Genomic DNA, 19,195 nt, shown 5'->3' with positions numbered 1-19,195 from the left:
TTGCAGTCAACAGACTATTGGCTTGTAGCAAAAAGGGAATAAATTCACATCAACCAACCTGGGATGATTCAAAAAACAAAGCAAAGAGAATATTATAAGACTGTGGGGAGGGATTTTTGAGGCTGTAGTGATGGACTCAGAGCATGGCAGGTCTTAGTGTAAAGCAGCCAGTGTCAAATCTGCTCTGCAAAGTGGACCTAGGTCTTGTGTCCTTAGAACCCATAAAGTCCTGCCAGATTTGGAATGTTCCATCCAGAAACCCCTTCTCTGTAGCTCTGTGCTTCTGTGAAGAGGTGGATGTAGATCCTCCAAGAACTGGGATGTTCTTCTTACTCATAAGCAAAGTTTCTGACAGCCCCTGACGTTGGAGAACAAGGTCTCCCGTTGAGTCAGAAAGCAGTTGTCAGCCAAGGAAGAGGCTGTTTGACATTTTGAAGCTGCAGCTTGAGAGAAACATTGTTTCCTGCTCATGATGTCACTGGCTTTGTCCTCATCAGTCCATCCATCCACCCTGCAGATGAAAGGGCAGATTTGCCTTTCCTTAATTTGTGTTCCTTTTACTTACTAACATAACATTTTTATTAACTAGTGGACACAACAGTGTAACCAGTTATTTCTATGTTTTCATACTCAACTATTGAGTCACTATTTGCTTCATCACGTGATATTGATTTTATAATAGAATTTTCTGTAAATATAGCAGAAAGATAAACCAGTCTTTCCACTAAGTTTGATCACTTTAAAATTCTGATAAATAATACAATCATCCAAAATTATGAAATACTACAATCAATCCTACTTGTGAAAATCATGGATTATAACATTTTCTTTCTGCTTCAAGACTCATATAGGTAATGTTATGCAAATTTGTCTGATTGTTGTCTAATTTGGAAAAGCTTCCAGTTTTCTTTCGTGTGAGTGCTAAGATTTTGGTACTTTCTAAATTTTCTTGACTTAAGATTGATGATCTTAAAGACTGTATCAACAATGCTCACTAAACACAGCATTTAAAAACTCTGACTGTTGTAGTGGGCTTCAAAATTGTGCAAATGTAAGCTATATACTATATTGATTACCTCATGGGATGCACAGAGTTTGTCCTGAAAGAAATATTTCTTCAAGCATCTTACTGTTGGTCAATGTTGTGTCTCTGTTGTTTGGAGCTTGCAATTTCATCAGGATAACAGGAGGTTGAAGGCCAAGTCTGATCCACCGATTCTGTGCCAACTCACAGGCATACATCCTTGCTGTGGGTAGTTTCACTATGCAGGTCTGCACCCTACAAATGTGAAAAATCAAGAAATTCTACCCATTAAATTCCCATAAAAAATAAAACAACTTGGGTCTCACTTGGGTAAAATTAAAAACAAAATAACAAAATAAAAACAAACTGCATGGTGCGCTATTGTACATACCATATTAGTGAGTACATTTTCATGACACTAACCTATTTTCAGCATTATTAAAGACAATAGATTCCAACCAAGAATGTCCTATCCCATCCAACTAAGCTTCGTAAGCAAAGAAGAAAAATAAATCTTTTCCAAACAAGCAGTTACTGAGAAAACTTGTTACCACTAGACCAGCCTTAAGAGATGCTTAAGGGAGTTCTAAACATGGAAATAAGAGAACAATACCTACTGTTGCAAAAATACAGTTAAATATAGCTCAAAGACAGTATATAGCAACAACACAATACATACTGCAGGGAAACCAGTTGTCACCTTCATGATAGGATCAAAAACTCACATATAAATATTAACCTTGGGCCAAGCACAGTGGCTCAAGCCTGTAATCCCAGCACTTTGGGAGGCCGAGATGGGTGGATCATGAAGTCAGGGGTTCGAGACCAGTCTGGCCATCATGGTGAAACCCCCGTCTCTATTAAAAATACAAAAAATTAGCTGGGCATGGTGGTGCGCACCTGTAATCCCAGCTACTTGGGAGGCTGAAGCAGAAGAATCACTTGAACCCAGGAGGCGGAGGTTGCAGTGAGCTGAGATTGTGCCACTGCACTCCATCCTGGGTGATAGAGTGATACTCTGTCTCAAACAAACAAACAAAAATTAACCTTGACCATAAACAGCCTAAATACTCCACTCAAAAGCCACAGATTACAAGTTGTATTTAAAAACCCAGACCCATCCATCTGCTGTCTTCAAAAGATCCATCTCACATGTAATGACACCCATGGTCTTAACATAAAAGGTTGGAGGGAGATCTATCACAGAAATAGAAAACAAAAAAGGGAGAGGGTTACTATTTTTACATCAGATGAAACAGACTTTAAACCCAAAACAGCAATTTAAAGAGGACAAAGAAGGGCATTACATGATGACAAACGGTTCAATTAAACAAGAAGACTTAATTATTCTTAAACATATATGCATCCAACATTGCAGCCCCCAGATTCATAAACAAGTATGCCAAGGCCTACAAAAAGAATTAGCCAGAGAATTATAATGGGGTACTTCAACATCCCCCTGGCACTGTTAGATAGATCATCAAGGTAGAAAACTAACAAAGAAATTCTGGATTTAAATTTGACACTTGACCAATTGGACCTCATAGACATCTACAGAATGCTCCACCTATCTGTGTCCTGAATTGGTTCCTTCTGGTGGGTTCTTGGTCTCGCCGACTTCAAGAATAAAGCTGCGGACCCTCGCAGTGAGTGTTACAGTTCTTAAAGATGGTGTGTCCGGAGTTGTTCCTTCAGATGTTCATATATGTCTGGAGTTTCTTCCTTCTGGTGGGTTCGTGGTCTTGCTGACTTCAGAAGTGAAGCTGCAGACCTTCACAGTGAGTGTTACTGCTCTTAAGGTGGCATGTCTGGAGTTGTTCATTCCTCCCAGTGGGTTTGTGCTCTCGCTGACTTCAGGAGTGAAGCTGCAGACCGTTGTGGTGAGGGTTACAGCTCATAAAGGTAGTGAGGACCCAAAGAGTGAGCAGCAGCAAGATTTATTGTGAAGAGTGAAAGAACAAAGCTTCCACAGTGTGGAAGGGGACCCGAGCAGGTTGCCACTGCTGGCTGGGGTGGCCAGCTTTTATTCCCTTATTTGGCCCCACCCACAACCTGCTGATTGGTCCATTTTACAGAGTGCTGATTGGTCTGTTTTTACAGAGTGCTGATTGGTGCCTTTACAAACCTTTAGCTAGACACAGAGTGCTGATTGGTGCATTTACCATCCTTTAGCTACACATAAAAGTTCTCCAAGTCCCCACCTGACCCAGAAGCCTAGCTGGCTTCACCTGTCAATCCCCCCTCAAACAGGACACCACAACTGCTGTTGGGAATTCAGTGATGACCACTGTAGCTACTTCCTGCTGGATAGGGGCAAAGAAGGGACCCTGAAGTTGTAGTGTCCTCCAGATGTGAACTCTTTAGGCCAGTGAAAGGGCCAGCGGGTCAGTCCAGGGGTCCTTGGTAGAAGTTGTTAGTTGAGCTCATTTGGGTTTCCATATGTAAGAACATCAGAAAAGTGTTATCTGATTTCAGAAGGCTTTTTCTGTCAATGCTGAGTGGCAACTTGTACTATCCCTGACTGGTTAGTGTAAAAACAACACTCTTCCCCTAAGAAGGTACAGAGTCCTCCTTTCTCAGCAGTGAGGATGTCTAGGCCTCGGTGGTTTTGGAGAGTCATGGCTGCCAAAGACTCTGTTTGGGGTTGTAGAGTAAGGATAGATTTCGCTATTTCTTACAAACTGTCTGAGAAATCCTTTGAGAGTGTGTGGTAGTAGGATAATGAAGTAAATATACTGGCTATTCTGGTTCATGTAGCAGTAGCCATTCCTAACCCTGTAAGTAGGGGTATTAGTTGTATAGCTCTGCACTGACGGACTTGAGCTTTAATATCAGTTATAGGGTAATTGAGCTATAATATCAATTATACTTGGGCTATAATATCAGTTATAGGGTACTGATAGGGTCTGATTTCACAAGACTAGAAGTTAGGATAATATATGTTTGCACTGTTAACTTTTAGCAAACTTTACTTTTGTTGAAAACCTTTTAAGTTTGGAATTTCAATTATTCTTCACTATTAATAAGACCTCGTTCAGTCCATATTAACTTAGAACTGGTATGGATGGCTCCTTCCTGATTCTGTAAGTACTTTAAGGTTTGGGTTAGTGCAAACAGCTCGCACCCTTGAGCAGATCAATTATTAGAAAATTTTCCTAATTCTGATTCTATGATTTTCCTTATCACTTACTGAATACCCATTGTGTCTTTTTCCTTTATCACCTGGGAGGAACCATCTATCCTCCTATCCTGAAGAGAGTTCTTCCTAGATCTGGTCGGACCTTTGTATAGTAATTAATTAAGATTTAGATCCCCTGTTAGGAAACCTACTGGGTTAAGGATTTTTGATAGGAAGGCTACAGGTTGTCAGTGGCCTCAGTGCTTTCAGGCTACACCCTTGTTTACACTGACAAGGTGGTATTGGAGTGTTATAGGGTTACAGAGAAAACCTTCATTTATCAATTATAGGTTTTAATTTCACCCTGGCTTTTAAAGGAATAGGGTACACTTTTTTCTTTACTACTTCTCTCTTTCTCTTTGATTTCTTTGTCTCTCTCTTTCTTTGTCTTTCTCTTTGTTTCTCTCTTTGTCTGTCTCTTCCTCTCTCTCTTTGACTTTCTGTGTCTCTCTTTTTCTCTCTTCTGACTCCCTCTTTGTCTCTCTCTCTTCCTCTGTCTCTTTGACTTTGTCTCTTTCTTTCTTTCTCTCTGACTCCTTTTTTCTCTCTCTCTTCCTCTCTCTGTCTCTTTCTCTAACTTTCTGTCTCTTTCTCTCTTTCCTTTCTGCTGGTCTTTCCCTGCCTCTGCCAGCTGCTTATGCTGCTGTTCTCCCCTCTCCTTCCCCTTTTGATGGGTTTGGCAGTGTAAGACTGCCACCTCCTTGGATTTTTGCACTGCATGCAATAACTCCATGGCTTCCTTGTAGTATTTAATGGGGGTTCTTCCTTTCTTTCCAGATTGCAGCATGGGCATGTAGGATTAGATAAGCATACTTGCTATTTGTATACATATTTATTCTTCTTCCCTTTCCCAGTTCTAAAGCTTGGGTAAATGCCACTAGTTCTGCTGACTGGGCGCTGGTCCCTGGGGGAAGAGGCCTTACTTTCAAGTACTGTTACTATGGCATAACCTGCCCTTCATATCCCATTCTCCACAGATAAACTTCCATCAGTATATAGGTTAAGGTCAGGATTAGTTAAGGGGACTTCTAAGAGATCATCTCAGGTGGCATAAATCTGGACTATAATTTGTTGGCAGTCATGCTTGATTGGCTCATCATCCTCTGGGAGAAAAGTGGCAGGGTTGAGGGCCATGCATGTACATATTTGAAGCACCAGTCCCTCAAAGAGTAGGGCCTGGTATCTAAGTAGATGGTTGTCTGATAACCATAAACTTCCTTTGGCACCTAGTATGTCATTTACATCATGAGTAGTCCAGACAGTGAGATCCTTTCCTTGTATTATTTTGATAACCTCTAACACTAAGATGGCCACCACCACAACCACCCATAAATGGTGAGGCCAGCCTTTTGCTACCACATCAACTTCCTTACTTAAGTATGCCACTGATGTGGGGTTGTCCCACGAGTCTGAGTAAGGACTCCAAGAGCTATTCCTGCTCTCCTTGTGATGTATAAAGAGAAGTTTTGTCCTGTGGGAAGGTTTAAGGCTGGAGCTTGAGTTTGTTCCTTCCAATGCCCAGACTTCAGGGTTGATTCCCTCCTCAAGCAGGGGACAACAAATGGGTAACTTTTCCCCCATATTCATGTAAATAATAGCTGCAGCTTTGGCTAATATATCCCTCCCTAATAAGGGTATGGAACTTTCAGGCATAACAAGAAAGACATGTGAAAAGAGCAAAGTCTCCCAATTACAACTGAGGAAGTGGGAGAAATACCTGTCCCGGGATTCCTCAGATGGTAACAGACCTTGAGGACAGCTGTCCAGAACAGTAGATTAACACTGACAAAGCTGTGCCAGTGTCCAGGAGGAAGTCAATTTCCAGGCCTTCAATGGTTATACATACCCGGGGTTCAGTGAGAGTAATGACATGAGCTGGCACTTGCCCCGGGCACCCTCAGTCTTGTTGTTGGATCATCTGATTGGGGGCTTCTGGCCCAGAGAACCATTGCACTCTGGGGCAATGTGCCTTCCAGTGATTGCCTCGGCATAGTGGACACGGACGAGGAGGCAGCTTGTTTCTCATAGGACAATCTTTTAAAAGTGTCCTTGTAAACCACACTGATAACAAGCGCTACCTGGTGATTGGCCTGCTCCATTTTCTGTCCTCTCTGAACCACCAGTGTTTGTTTGTCTGAGGCCATGACTAAAGCTGTGGCCTTTCTCTGATTTTGCTTTTCCTTTTGGGCCTGTTCCTCTTGGTCCCTATTATAGAACACTGAAGTTGCCAGGTTTAATAATGTCTTCAGATTTTGTTCAGGGCCCATGGCTTACTTTTGGAGCTTTCTCCTGATGTCTGCAGCTGATTGGGTAATAAACTTCTCTTTTAGGATCAATTGACCCTCCAGTGAGTTGGGTGACAGGGGAGTATATTTTCTTAAGGCCTCCCGTAGCTGCTTGAGGGAGGCAGAAGCATTTTCTTCCTTTCCCTGACATGGTGGACATCACTGAATAATTCATGGGCTTTTTCCTCATTCTCCTTACTCCTTCTAGAACACAGGTTAACAGATGTTTGTGACTCCAGTCTCCATGATCTGAGTTGAGGTCCCAGTGGGGAGCCCTACTGGGGATGGCTTGCTGAGCAGTAGGGAATTTGTCCCTTTCTTCAGCTGTCATTCTATCATTTACTTGAGTAAGATACCAGGTATCTCCAAACTCTTTGGCTGAAGATAAAGCTGCATTCTTTTCATTAAAGGCCAGGATTTGATCTAATAATAGCATGACATCTCTCCAAGTGAGATTGAAGGTTTGCCTTAGGCCCTGTAGGACATCTATGTAACTATCAGGATCATCTGAAAACTTCCCCAGGTCTGTCTTGATCTGCCTTAAATCAGAGAGGGACAAAGGGACATGTACCTGGGTTGGGCAAAATTCCCCTCCCCCTACAGCTTGAAGGGGGCATAACTGATAGCCCAGGGGTTTTTGTGGTCCTTTGGAGATTTGGTTGCCTATTTCCTTCTCAGTGGGGGAGATTAGAGGAGGCTTATCATTAATAGGAAGGGGAGCTATAGGGAGGCTAGGATATGGGGGTAACCTGAAAGGTCCTCCTGTGGGATGTAAATTGTAAGCTTTGCATAGTTGTGTATTCTCCTTCAATGTAAAGAAAGCTTGGGCATAAGGTATTTCACTCCGTTTGTCTTCCTTCTTACAGAAATGGTCAAGCTGCAGGATAGTATTGTAATTTATACTTCCATCAGGTGGCCACTTTCCCCCTTCAGAGAGGGAATATTGGGGCCAAGCCATATTGCAGAAAAAAATGAGCCACCTCTTTTTCAGGGTTTGTGGGTCAAATTGGTCCCAATGGCTTAGGATGCATTTCAAGGGTGAGTCTGTTGATGCCTGAGTGTTTCCCATCTGAAAGACAAAACTGCCCATGGTTTTGGTTTGCTTGTTTCTCCCCCTGCCCAAGAACCCACAATGGTCATTGGAATCTGCTGATTGGAATAGTTGCACTCACAGATGCAGCAGCAGAAACACCTCTTGCCCAAGAACACGCAACAGTCCCTGGACCCTGCTGATTGGAATAGTTTCACTCACCGACACAGCAATAGAAACACTAGTTTTCTTCCACTAGGAGGACTGAGGGAGGTCAGATTTAGTGGCCCTTACCAATGCATTCTTGAAAACCTGCACCCTTGCCTTTCCTCCTAGACCACAAAGAAGACTGAGAAAAATTGGATTTAGTGGCCCTTACCAACACGTTCTTGAAAACCTGTTAGTCCTAAGCATTCTCCTGTTAGTATTGGGACTTTAACCCTGTCCTATAAAGATGTTATGCCTGAAAAATGAAGTGGGGGGCCGTATCCTGAGGGAGGGGAGGGATCATCAGAGTTGGAAGAGTGATGCCTTTTTGTCCTCAGTTATATGAATAGGAAGGATATCATTTCTGAAGCTCCCCATATCCTAGCTTCCAGAATAGCTTCATTAGGCCTGCTTGTCTGAGGAGGGATCCTAAAATTCCAGATAGTACCCCCTGTGATGGGGCTTTGGGCAAAAATTATGTCTTTCTGATTGGTGAACCAGGGAGCCTAAAGAAGGTAACAGAGTCCTGAAGTTTATACTAGAAATCACTCTTGCAGGAGAAATTAGAAAAGCACCAGAGATAGGGAGTAGTTTTTAGAAGTGGGACTAGCCTCAGAGAAGAGAGGTGAGAGGAAGTTTGTCTGACAAGCATTAGAATCCAGGAGGCAAGGGTCAGGAGAGATAGGATAGATAGGATAGATGGGCGAGTCTTGCTTGGGCGACATGACTTTGAGAGTTCCACTCATGGCTTCAGGGTCAACCAACTTGTTGACCCTGAGAGCTGAATGGCTTTCCTCTCTGTTGACCCCCAGCTCAGCCCAGAAGTACAGGAAAAGTGGAAGCTGGTTCCAGGCAAACCAACGCTCCCAGCTTCAAAGAGTTGGGGGTTGTTAGAGAGCCCTTTCCCAGAAAGCCTGACACCCATGTCTTTAGTCTGGTGGCTGCGCTAGTCACTTTTAACAGGCCGACAGGTGCCCAGTATTTAGCACCCAAATTCTAAGGAAAAATAGGACAGAATAAATAGCAAAAGGGGTCCGATGGTACTCACTGCTTGGTCATAGGCAATAGTGCCTTCATGATCACCAAAATGTGTCCAGAATTGGTTCTTTCTGGTGGGTTCTTGGTCTTGCTGACTTCAAGAATGAAGCCGTGGACCCTCATGGTGAGTGTTACAGTTCTTAAAGATGGTGTGTCCAGAGTTGTTCCTTCTGAAGTTCAGATATGTCTGGAGTTTCTTCCTTCTGCTGGGTTTGTGGTCTTGCTGACTTCAGAAGTGAAGCCGCAGACCTTCACAGTGAGTGTTACAGCTCTTAAAGGTGGCGCATCTGGAGTTGTTCATTCCTCCTGGTGGGTTCATGGTCTCACTGACTTCAGGAGTGAAACTGCAGACCTTCATGGTGAGGGTTACAGCTCATAAAGGTAGTGCAGATGCAAAGAGTGAGCAGCAGTAAGATTTATCGTGAAGAGCAAAAGAACAAAGCCTCCACAGCATGCAAGGCAACCTGAGCAGGTAGCAGCTGCTGGCTCAGGTGGCCAGCTTTTATTACCTTATTTGGCCCCACCCACATCCTGCTGACTGGTCCATTTTACAGAGAGCTGATTGGTCCATTTTACAGAGTGCTGATTGGTCTGTTTTTACAGAGTGCTGACTGGTGCATTTACAAACCTTTAGCTGGACACAGAGCATTGATTGGTGCATTGACAATCCTTTAGCTAGACAGAAGAGTTCTCCAAGTCCCCACCTGACCCAGAAGCCTAGCTGTCTTCACCTCTCACATCAACCACAGAACATACATTCTTCTCATGGGCCTACAGAGCATACTCAAAGACAGAGCTGCTGGTCTGAATTGGGAGTGTGGGCCACAGCTCCCTTATCTTGCAAATAACTTGGCAAAGCAACAAACCCCCTCAGGTCCAAGCCTGGGCATATTTCCCAGCATTCAACACTTCCACTTCCTGAAATAAGGGCCTAGCAGCCTTTCCTGCAAAGACCTTGTTGCAATAGCCATTTCACTGCTCTGAAGCAAATTTTTTTGTTCCTCACTGAGGGGCATATTTCCAGGCATTTGGCCCATTTGCTCACCTAGATTAAGACCCTGGGTCACCCTTCCATTCCCGTGCAGACATCTTGGTATAGAAGCACCCTCTTCATTCCACAACCAGGCATAATTTCAAGAATTCAGTGTGCCCCCTCACCTGGATTAGGAGCATAAGTTGCCTTTCCCTTCTAATGCGGAGATCTTGGTGCATCTGTGCCTTTCTACTCCACTCTAAGGCATAGTTCCAAGCATTCAGCACACCTGCTCTACTGGACTGCAATCCTGAGTCACTTCTCTTGTCCTGTGTGGAAATCTTGGGACAGCAGTGCCCTCTCTGTCATGCTCAGGGATACTTCCAGGCATTTTGAGGACCCACTTACCCGGAATAGGAATCTGAGCTGCCCTTCCCTTCTCACGCAGAGATCTTTCTGCAGCAGCACCCTCTCCACTCCATGCTAGGCACATTCCCAGGCATTTGGAGAACCTTCTCACCTGGATTAGGAGCCTCAGCCACTCCTCCCTTCAGGTGCATAGGTCTTGAATCAGCAGCACCCACTATGCTCCATGCCTGGACATATCTTCAGGCATGTGGAGTACTCACTTTTCAAGATTAGAAGGGTAGGTTACCACTCCCTTTCCAGGCAGAGAACTTCGGGCAGCAGAGGGTTATCCCCTCCATACCCAGGCACATCTCTGGATGTTTTGCAGCTGCCTCTTTATCTGCCCTCAGAGCTAGTGTTTGCCCTTACCACTGGCAGACATGTAGGCATGTCTGCATTCTCTGGCCCCAACCAACTTGTTCCCTCAGTCCAGGACTGTACAGGGAGCTCACACCACTGTGCATTCCACAACATAGCCCATTGCCTGAGGCAACAGAAAGCATCTCGCCATAAACAAAGATCAAGTATATGCCCCATCTGCATCAGCCTTAGCTGGTTCTTATCCATAAGCACCACACACTGGCTTGGAAAATAAATGACACAATCTAATAGAAAATCTGCTGACAGAAATGCATTGCACTGGAGAATGAGATAAGCTTCCTGAGACCTTAACCATACTGGACTTGTAGGAGACAGTGAACCCACTCATTCATCCCTACACCACTACTATAACCAACGTCTGAGAAAGCCACCATACAAAGACTATCTATAACCAAGGAACATACACAGAACCTTTAACAATGAAAGCCCAGAACCAAAGTTGAACCCTACACAGCAGACATTATACACATTCTCAAGGGAGAAAAGGAAAAAACAAAAACATCTCTTCCAAATGAAAGTAAATTTAAAAATTAGAAACAGAGATAGCTTTTGCAGATGAGAAGGAATCAGCAAAAAAAAATTCAAAAGTATGGAAAAGCAGAGTGTAACAGTACCTCAAAGGGACCACACTAACTCTCCAGAAATGGGTCTTCATGAAAATAATTTTTTTTGAAATGCTTGATAAAGAATTTAAAATACTGATTTTTAAAAGGCACAAAATAATCCAAGAGAAAGTTGAAAAGCAACATAAATCAGAAATACAATTCAAGATATGAAAAAAGAGATAGATTTTTAAAAACCCATACAACTACTAAAAATAAAAACTGTATTGGTGAAATTTTAAAATCCAGGTAAAAGCATCAACAGTAGGCTTGACCAAAGCAGAAGAAATTATTTCAGAGATGGAAAGTAGGTCTTTCAAATTAATCCAGCCAGACAAAAATAAAGGAAAAAAAATTTTAATGATTAAAGATTTCAAGAAATATGGGACCATATAAAAAGCATGTAAAAATAGGAGTCATAGATATTTCAGAGAGAGAAGAAAAAAGTAAAAAATATAGAAAAATCTATAAATGAGACAAAGAAGGTAATTATATAATGATAAAGAAATTTATTTGAGAAGATCTAACATTTTCAAATACATGTGCACGAAACATTGGAACACCTAGATTCATAAAACTAATACTACTACACCTAAAAAAAAAAGATAGCTAGCAATACAGTATTTGTATGGGACTTCAATATCCCACTGACAGAACTAGACAGTTCATAGAGGCAGAAAATCAACAACAACAGAAAATTCTGGATTTAAGTTGAATTCTAGAGCAAATGGACCTAACAGATATTTACAAAATATTCTACCCTACAACCTCAGAATATACAGTCTTCTCATGTATGCATGAAACATTCTCAAAAATTTATCATTTGCTAGGTCACAAGGAAAATCTCAATAAATGTAAAAAAATTGAAATCATATCAAGTACATTCTAAAAACAACAGTGAAATAAAAATACAGATCAACACTAAGAGGAATACTCAAAACTATATGAATACATGAAAATTAAGTGATCTGCTTCTGACTCACTGTTGGGTCAATGATGAAATTAAGACCAACATCAAAAAAATTGTCAATGAATAAAAATAAAGATATAGCTTTCAAAAATGTCTGAAAAACAACCAAATCGTGCTAAGAGGGAAGTTTATAACATTAACTGCCTACATGAAAAAGATAGAGAGATTTCAAATAAGCAACTTAAGGTTACACCTCAAGAAACTTGAGAAAAAAAGAAAAAAAAAACCACACCCAAGGCTAGTAAAAGAATAAAGATCAGAAAAGGACTAAATGAAATTGAGACCAAAAATAAAAAGAATCAATGAAGTGAAGTTGGTTGTTTGAAAAGATCAACAAAATCAATAGACCACTAGCTAGATTAACCAACAAAAAATGAGAGAAGATTCAAACAAGTGCAAGTAGAAGCGATAAAGGTGTCATTACAACTGATATAACAGAAATACAGAAGATTATCAAAGACTACTCTGAGCATCTCTATGTGATCAAATGAGAGAACCTAGAAGAAATAGATGGATTTCTGGAAATATACAACCCCCTAAGGTTCAACCAGGAAGAAATAGAAATTTTGAACAGACCAATAATAAGTAATAAAATTGAATTAGTAAGAAAAAAAATCCCAACAACAAAAAAGCCTAGGATCAGATGAGTTCAAACCCAGATACTATCAGATGTACCAGACAGAACTGCTGCCAATCTTACTGAAACTGTTCCAAAAAGGGAATCTTCTCTAATTTATTCTATGCAGTCAGCATTGCAATGATACCAAAGATAGACAAGAACACAACCAAAAACAACAACAAAAAAAAGCTACAAACCAATATCTCTAATAAACATAGAAGCAAAAATCCTTAACAAAATGCTACCACACAAAATCTAACAGCATATCAAAGACATAATACACCAAGATTGAGTGGGTTTTATTCCAGAGATGCAAGATTGATTCAACATACACAAATCAAAAAATAGGATTCACCATATAAACAGAATTAAAAACAAAACCATGTGATCATATCAAAAGATTCAGAAAAAGGCATTCAACAAAATCCAGCATCTCTTCATAATAAAGACCCTTACCAATTAGGCATAGAAGGAGCATACCTCAAAACGGTAAATGCCATATATGACAAACCCAAAGCCAACATCATTCTGAATGAAGAAAAGTTGAAAGCATTTTCCCTAAGAATAAGAACAAGGCAAGGATACCCACTACGAGGACCCCTATTCAACGTACTACTGGAAGTTCTAGCTGAAGCAATCAGGCAGAAGAAAGAAATAAAGTACATCAAAGTTCTAAAAGAGGAAGTCAAATTCTCGTATTTTTTTTATGATATGAACTTATACCTAGAAAACCCTAAAGATTCCCCCAAAAGGCTCTTCGATTTGATAAATTTCTTCATGAAAGTTTCAGGATACAAAATTAATGTACAAAAATCAGTAGCATTTCTATATAACAATAATGTCCAAGCTGAGAACCAAATCAAGAACTCAATCCAATTCATAATAGTTACAAAAAGTAATAAAATACCTCGAAATACATTTACTCAAGGAGTGAAAGATCTCTAGAAAGAGAACTATGAAACACTAAAGAAAGACATAATAGATGGCAAAAAAATTTTAAAAATCCCATGCTTATAGACTGGGGAATCAATATCATTAAAATGATCATACTGCCCAAGTTATCTACAGATTCAATTAAATTACTATCAAACTACCAATGTCATTCTTCATAGAATCAGAAAAAAAAATTGTAAAATTCACACGGATCCAAAAAAGATCCTGAATGCCCAAAGTAATGCTAAGCAAAGAGAATAAAATTGGACAGATCACATTATATTGTATGGCTGTAGTAACCAAAACAGCATGGTCATGTTATAGAAAGAGACACATACGGAAAAATATAGCCACATAGCTACAACCAACTGATCTCTGACAAAGTTGACAAAATTATATAAAGGGAAATCACATTCTATTCAATAAATGGTGCTGGGATAATTGGTGTGCCATATGTCGATTCATGAAACTGGCCTCTTACCTTCCATCATGTACAAAAATTAACTCAAGGTGGATTAAAGACTTAAATGTAAGAACTGAAACTATAAAAATCTTAGAAGACAACCTAGGAAAAACTCTTCTAAATATTGGTCTAGACAAAGAATTTATGATGAAGTCCTCAAAATAAAATACAACAAAAACCAAAACAGAGAAATGGGACTTAATAAAAGTAAAAAGCTTCTGCACAGCAAAAGAAATAATTCTCAGTAAACAAACAAACTGTAGAATGGGCGAAAAGATTTGCCAGCAGTGTATCTGACAAAGAGCTAATATTCAGACTCTACAAGGAACTTAAACAACTCAACAAGAAAAACAAGAATAACCCCATTAAAAAGTGGCCACAGGGTATGAACAGACATTTTTAAATAAAAGACATACAAACGGCAAACATATGAAAATACTTAACATAATTAAGTATCAGAGAAATGAAAATTAAAGCCACAATGCCATGCCATCTTATACTAGTCACAATGGCTGTTATTAAACAGTCAAAAAACGGACAAGTGCAGTGGCTCATGCTTGTAATCACAGTATTTTGAGAGGCTGAGGTGGGTGGATCACTTGAGTCCAGGCATTCAAGATAAGCCTGGGCAACATAGTGAGACCTTGTCTCAACAAGCAAAAAAAAAAAAAAAAAAAAAAAATTCCACGTGTGGTGGTGTGGGCCTGTAGTCCTTGCTACTTAGGAGGCAGAGCCAGGAGGACGCCTTGAGCCCAAGAGGTTGGGACTGCACTGACCTATGATCATGCCACTGCACTTCAGCCTGGGCAACAGAGGGAGACCCTGTCTCAAAAATGGTCAAAAAACAAGATGTTGGAAAATATGTATCGGTTGATGTGTAACTCATATGACCTCTATGGAAAACAGTATGATAATTTCTAGAAAACTAAAAATAGAACCACCCTTCAATCCAGCAATTCCACTACCGCACATGTACCCCCCAAAAGGAAACAAATCATTATATAAAAAAGCCTTCTGCATTTGTATGTTTATTGTAGCACAGTTCAGAATAGCAAAGTTGTGAAATCAACCTAAGTGTCCATCAACACTTCATTGAATAAAACAATCTGGTAGATATACACCATGGAATACTATTCAGCCATAAAAGTGAATGAAATTATGACTTTTGCAGCAATGTGTATGGAACTGGAGGCCATTACCCTTAGTGAAATGACTCAGAAACAGAAAATCAAGAACTGCATGTTCCCACTTATACATGGGTGCTAAACCATGGACATGGACTTACTGAGTGGAATGATAGACATTGGAGGCTCCAAACAGTGGGAGGATAGAATGAGGGTGAAAGTGAAATGCTGCCTATTGGGTACAATGTATCTTATTTGGGTAGTTGTACATAAAAGCCCAGATTTCATCTCTACAAAATATATCCATGTAACACAACTGCACCTGTACCCCTAAATCCATCAAAAATCTAAAAAAAATTAGTTTTAAATAAATACATTTTTAAATGCCATACATCCTATAATTCAACAATGTATAGCTGATCGTTAGCCACTGTTATTTCTGTAAATCAATGAGAATTAGATCAACAACTTTGGTAATCATGCCTTCTCTTCACTTGTACTTGTTTTCCTTAAAATCTTGAGTTTGATTTTTTGTTCTACAGAGCAGTCCCCAAGGCAACCTGAAAGTGTGTCCTGTGCTCCACTCTTGCTTGATCTCTGTGCTTAAATAAACTCTCTTTCAACTGGAAAAAAAAATTAAGAGAAATGAATGAATGAGTACAAAAATAATTTCAAAACAAACTGTATAGTGTACACAGAAGCCTTAATGTTTATCTTATAATTAGTTATTGAAGTCTCTTCTTGATTGTTTTCTTTTTCTGGATATAGGAGATCAAAGTGAAACCAATAAGTATACAGACAACATTTGGCTATAAATCTATGAACTGAATGTTGACATACTATACCTTTTAAAAGGAGGAGAAATATGCAGAACAAAGGTGAATGTATAGTGTATAGTAGATGGGCAATAAATATTTGCATTTAGTGGAAAATGAATAAAACTCTGTTTTACAAAAAGCATGAGATGTCCTATAAAATTAATGGAAGATCTTCCTTCCTTTTTTAAAATAAAACAAACTTTCAAAAGGGAAGAAAATTCTAAGAAATTATAAAGATTGCATGTGCTTGGTTCCTAGTTTATTATTTTTTCCCCTTACATATCTTCTTCCTCTCACATTAATTCTATTTCTCCTTCTCCTGCTCTGAGTAAATAATCAAATGTTTCTGCCCTCATTTTGTCTATATCTTAATTGTCAAAACCAGAACACATACCTATAAGGCAAGCACAGTGGGTAGGAACATAATGTCCAATCTTAAGAAAATATCTTAATCTTTCTCAGTCGCATTTCTCTTATCTGGAAATGGTGGCATCAGTCAGGATGAGCTGGGTTATGCTGTGGTAACAAAAAAAAGTATGAGGGACTTAAGACAGCAACATACCATTCCATTATTGTGACTGTTATTTGTATAGATGCACTGCATGTGTGTCGGGGGTGCTGAACTATGTTGTGCTCACTCTGGATCCCAAGATGATGGAGAAGACACCCTCACAACAGTATCAGGGGCCAAGGCAATAAGCACCAGCTTTCCCCAAGTGCAACTGGAAGTAACAGATGTCACTTATTCATCTATTATATTGACCAAAGCAGGTCATGACTACAACAAACTCAAAGGAAGGGGACAATCCTGTCTTGTACCCATAAGACACAGAAGCACTCAAGGGACAGCCCTAAAGACTATCACAAATGCCCACCCAATCACACCAGGCAGATATCTGTGTTTCTGCCCACAGCACCAGGGTACCACGCAAGCAATGGCACAGCTCAGATCCCAGTTTCTCCCTGCTCACCACCTCCACTTCCCCAGACATTTTGGACATAGTGGACCTGAAACCAAATAATAGTATAACAAAATACAGTCATCTGACAGGGGAGATGGCTCATGCCTACAATCCCAGCACTTTGGGAGGCCAAGGCGGGTCGATCACTTGATGTCAGGAGTTCGAGACCAGCCTGCCCAACATAATGAAACCCTGTCTTTACTAAAAATACAAAAATTAGCCGGGCATGGTAGCGCATACCTGTGTTCCCAGCTACTTGGGAGGCTGAGGCAGGAGAATTGCTTGAATCTAGGAGGTGGAGGTTGTATTTAGCTGAGATTGCACCACTGCACAGCAGCCTGGGGGACACAGTGAGACTCCATCTCAAAAAAGAAAAAAATGTATATATATATATATATATATATATATACACACACACACACACATATACATACAGTATCCTGAAAATGCCTTAAAGTTCACAGAAAACATTTTACCCATCTTTGGGCAGTCAAGCATCACCTAGGCAGAGTACCTTGATGACCATTTGTGTTTTCACCCACCAAGTTCACCAAGATGCCAAGATTATTTTGCCCTGAACCCACTTGGAACTGTCTGGGTGCTGGCACGTGGCTTCGGGTTGCCTCTCTTACCCAATTCCTTGTTTCATGGAAGGGAATGAGCTTCATGGTACCTGTGATTCATTTTCACCTTTACCTTGTTTTAGTTTTGGGCCTCCAAGCTAATGATTACAATTTTCCTTGCCTCTCATTTCCTTTATAGACATTTTAACTTTTCTGTGTGATTTTTTTTTAAATGACATAAAGCTATTTGCTTTTTGTTCCTGCAACTTTTATAAAATGTTCCTCTTTTAATTATTCAAGAATATTTGTCTGTAAATTAAAGTTGCTAAAGAAAGATTAATGGAAAATTTTCAGGCTTGTCATAAAATGGGCCTAATTGTGTCCTCCTCCTGTATCATTGAGCATGTGATGTGTGGTAGGTGCTCGATTGGGTGCTGGAGATATCAAACAGGAAGATCCGAGTCACCCACCCTCAATGAATGTCAGGTCTGCTAGACAGGGAAGTGGAAATCAGAGGAGAGAACAGGGCACTGGAGAGCACAGAGAAGGGAACCAAACCCACAGAGAGGCTGGGAGAGGAGGACAAGCTCCCCACATTGCTGGGTCCTCTCTACTTGAGCACCTGTCAGCCCAACTTCCAATTGCCAGCATCTGTACCCATTTACCTGTACAAATAGCCCAAGTAAGTGCAAGATAACTAATTCCCTGACACATTCTCCAAGGACTGACACCAGCTGACATGTTAAACACAATCTCCCAGAAGTTCCCAGCAGAAATGAGCTGCATAGCAGTAGCCTGACAGTTCACACTCATAGTATTGACCACCTTCTCATTCCTATTTCATTTCCTCACTGTCCTAGGAGTGTACCCTGGGACTGCCTTCCAGATAAGCCACAGGAAATTGAATTCTGGTTACAAGGTCTCCCTCTGGGTAGCCCAATCTTGACAGTCATCTTTATGGAGAATGTAATTTCTGTGGAATCACAAAAGGAATCAATGAGGTGACATAGGGGAAGGGAATTCCAAAACAGGGAGTCTGGGCCAAGACATATGGGTGTGAATAAGTGTCAAGTTCCATATGAGGAGAGATGACCCTGGAGTTTCAGGGGTTTCAAACACTGAGCTCCAGGTCAAAGGCTATCAAACTGGGCCCACCATGGAATTTGCCAAGTATCCAAAGGTGTTGAGGACTGGGGACTGCTGGGACATCTAACCTCATGCCAAAAGCATGAAACCAGACTGCATGGGTTAAAAGCCTGGTTCTTCCACTTATAAGCTGTGTGACTTTGTAATACTTGCCTCTCTGTGGTTCAATTTCTTCATCTGTAAAATGGAGACAGTAATAGTAACTACTAAGCAGTTATGTGATGCTATAATAAATTATTGAATTATGTTCATTGTAAGGTGACATTATTATTAGCTAGTTTTGGTTTGTGATTCTGTCAGTGATCTCTGAAAGGCACATCACATGGGGAAGGAGACTCAGTCCTTGCTCTCCAAGACCTCAGGGAATGGTTGGGGACAGAAATAGACATACAAGTAAGAAAGACCATGAGAGGAGGATGATAAATGCCTACAGTGAACATAAAAGTGCTGTAGGAGACCAAAATCAAAAGG

General features: G+C 40.6%; 2 long non-coding RNA genes across 2 annotated transcripts; both read right to left on the bottom strand.

Moving 5' to 3' along the window:
- Window positions 1-10,433, bottom strand: LOC105372575 (uncharacterized). Its single transcript, XR_937389.3, has 3 exons — window positions 10,365-10,433; window positions 1,077-1,279; window positions 1-511 (listed from the first exon to the last, which is right to left on the bottom strand). It is a non-coding gene; the product is annotated as an uncharacterized LOC105372575 (long non-coding RNA).
- Window positions 10,434-15,120: 4,687 nt separating this feature from the next.
- LOC107985432 (uncharacterized) lies at window positions 15,121-17,377 on the bottom strand. Its single transcript, XR_001754554.3, has 3 exons — window positions 17,256-17,377; window positions 16,448-16,569; window positions 15,121-15,858 (listed from the first exon to the last, which is right to left on the bottom strand). It is a non-coding gene; the product is annotated as an uncharacterized LOC107985432 (long non-coding RNA).
- Window positions 17,378-19,195: the final 1,818 nt, after the last annotated feature.

Source organism: Homo sapiens, chromosome 20 (genome assembly GCF_000001405.40).
Source record: "Homo sapiens chromosome 20, GRCh38.p14 Primary Assembly".
Classification (NCBI taxonomy): domain Eukaryota; kingdom Metazoa; phylum Chordata; class Mammalia; order Primates; family Hominidae; genus Homo; species Homo sapiens.
The sequence above is the reverse complement of the archived record's forward strand: the minus strand, read 5'-3'. Positions and strand labels throughout refer to the sequence as shown.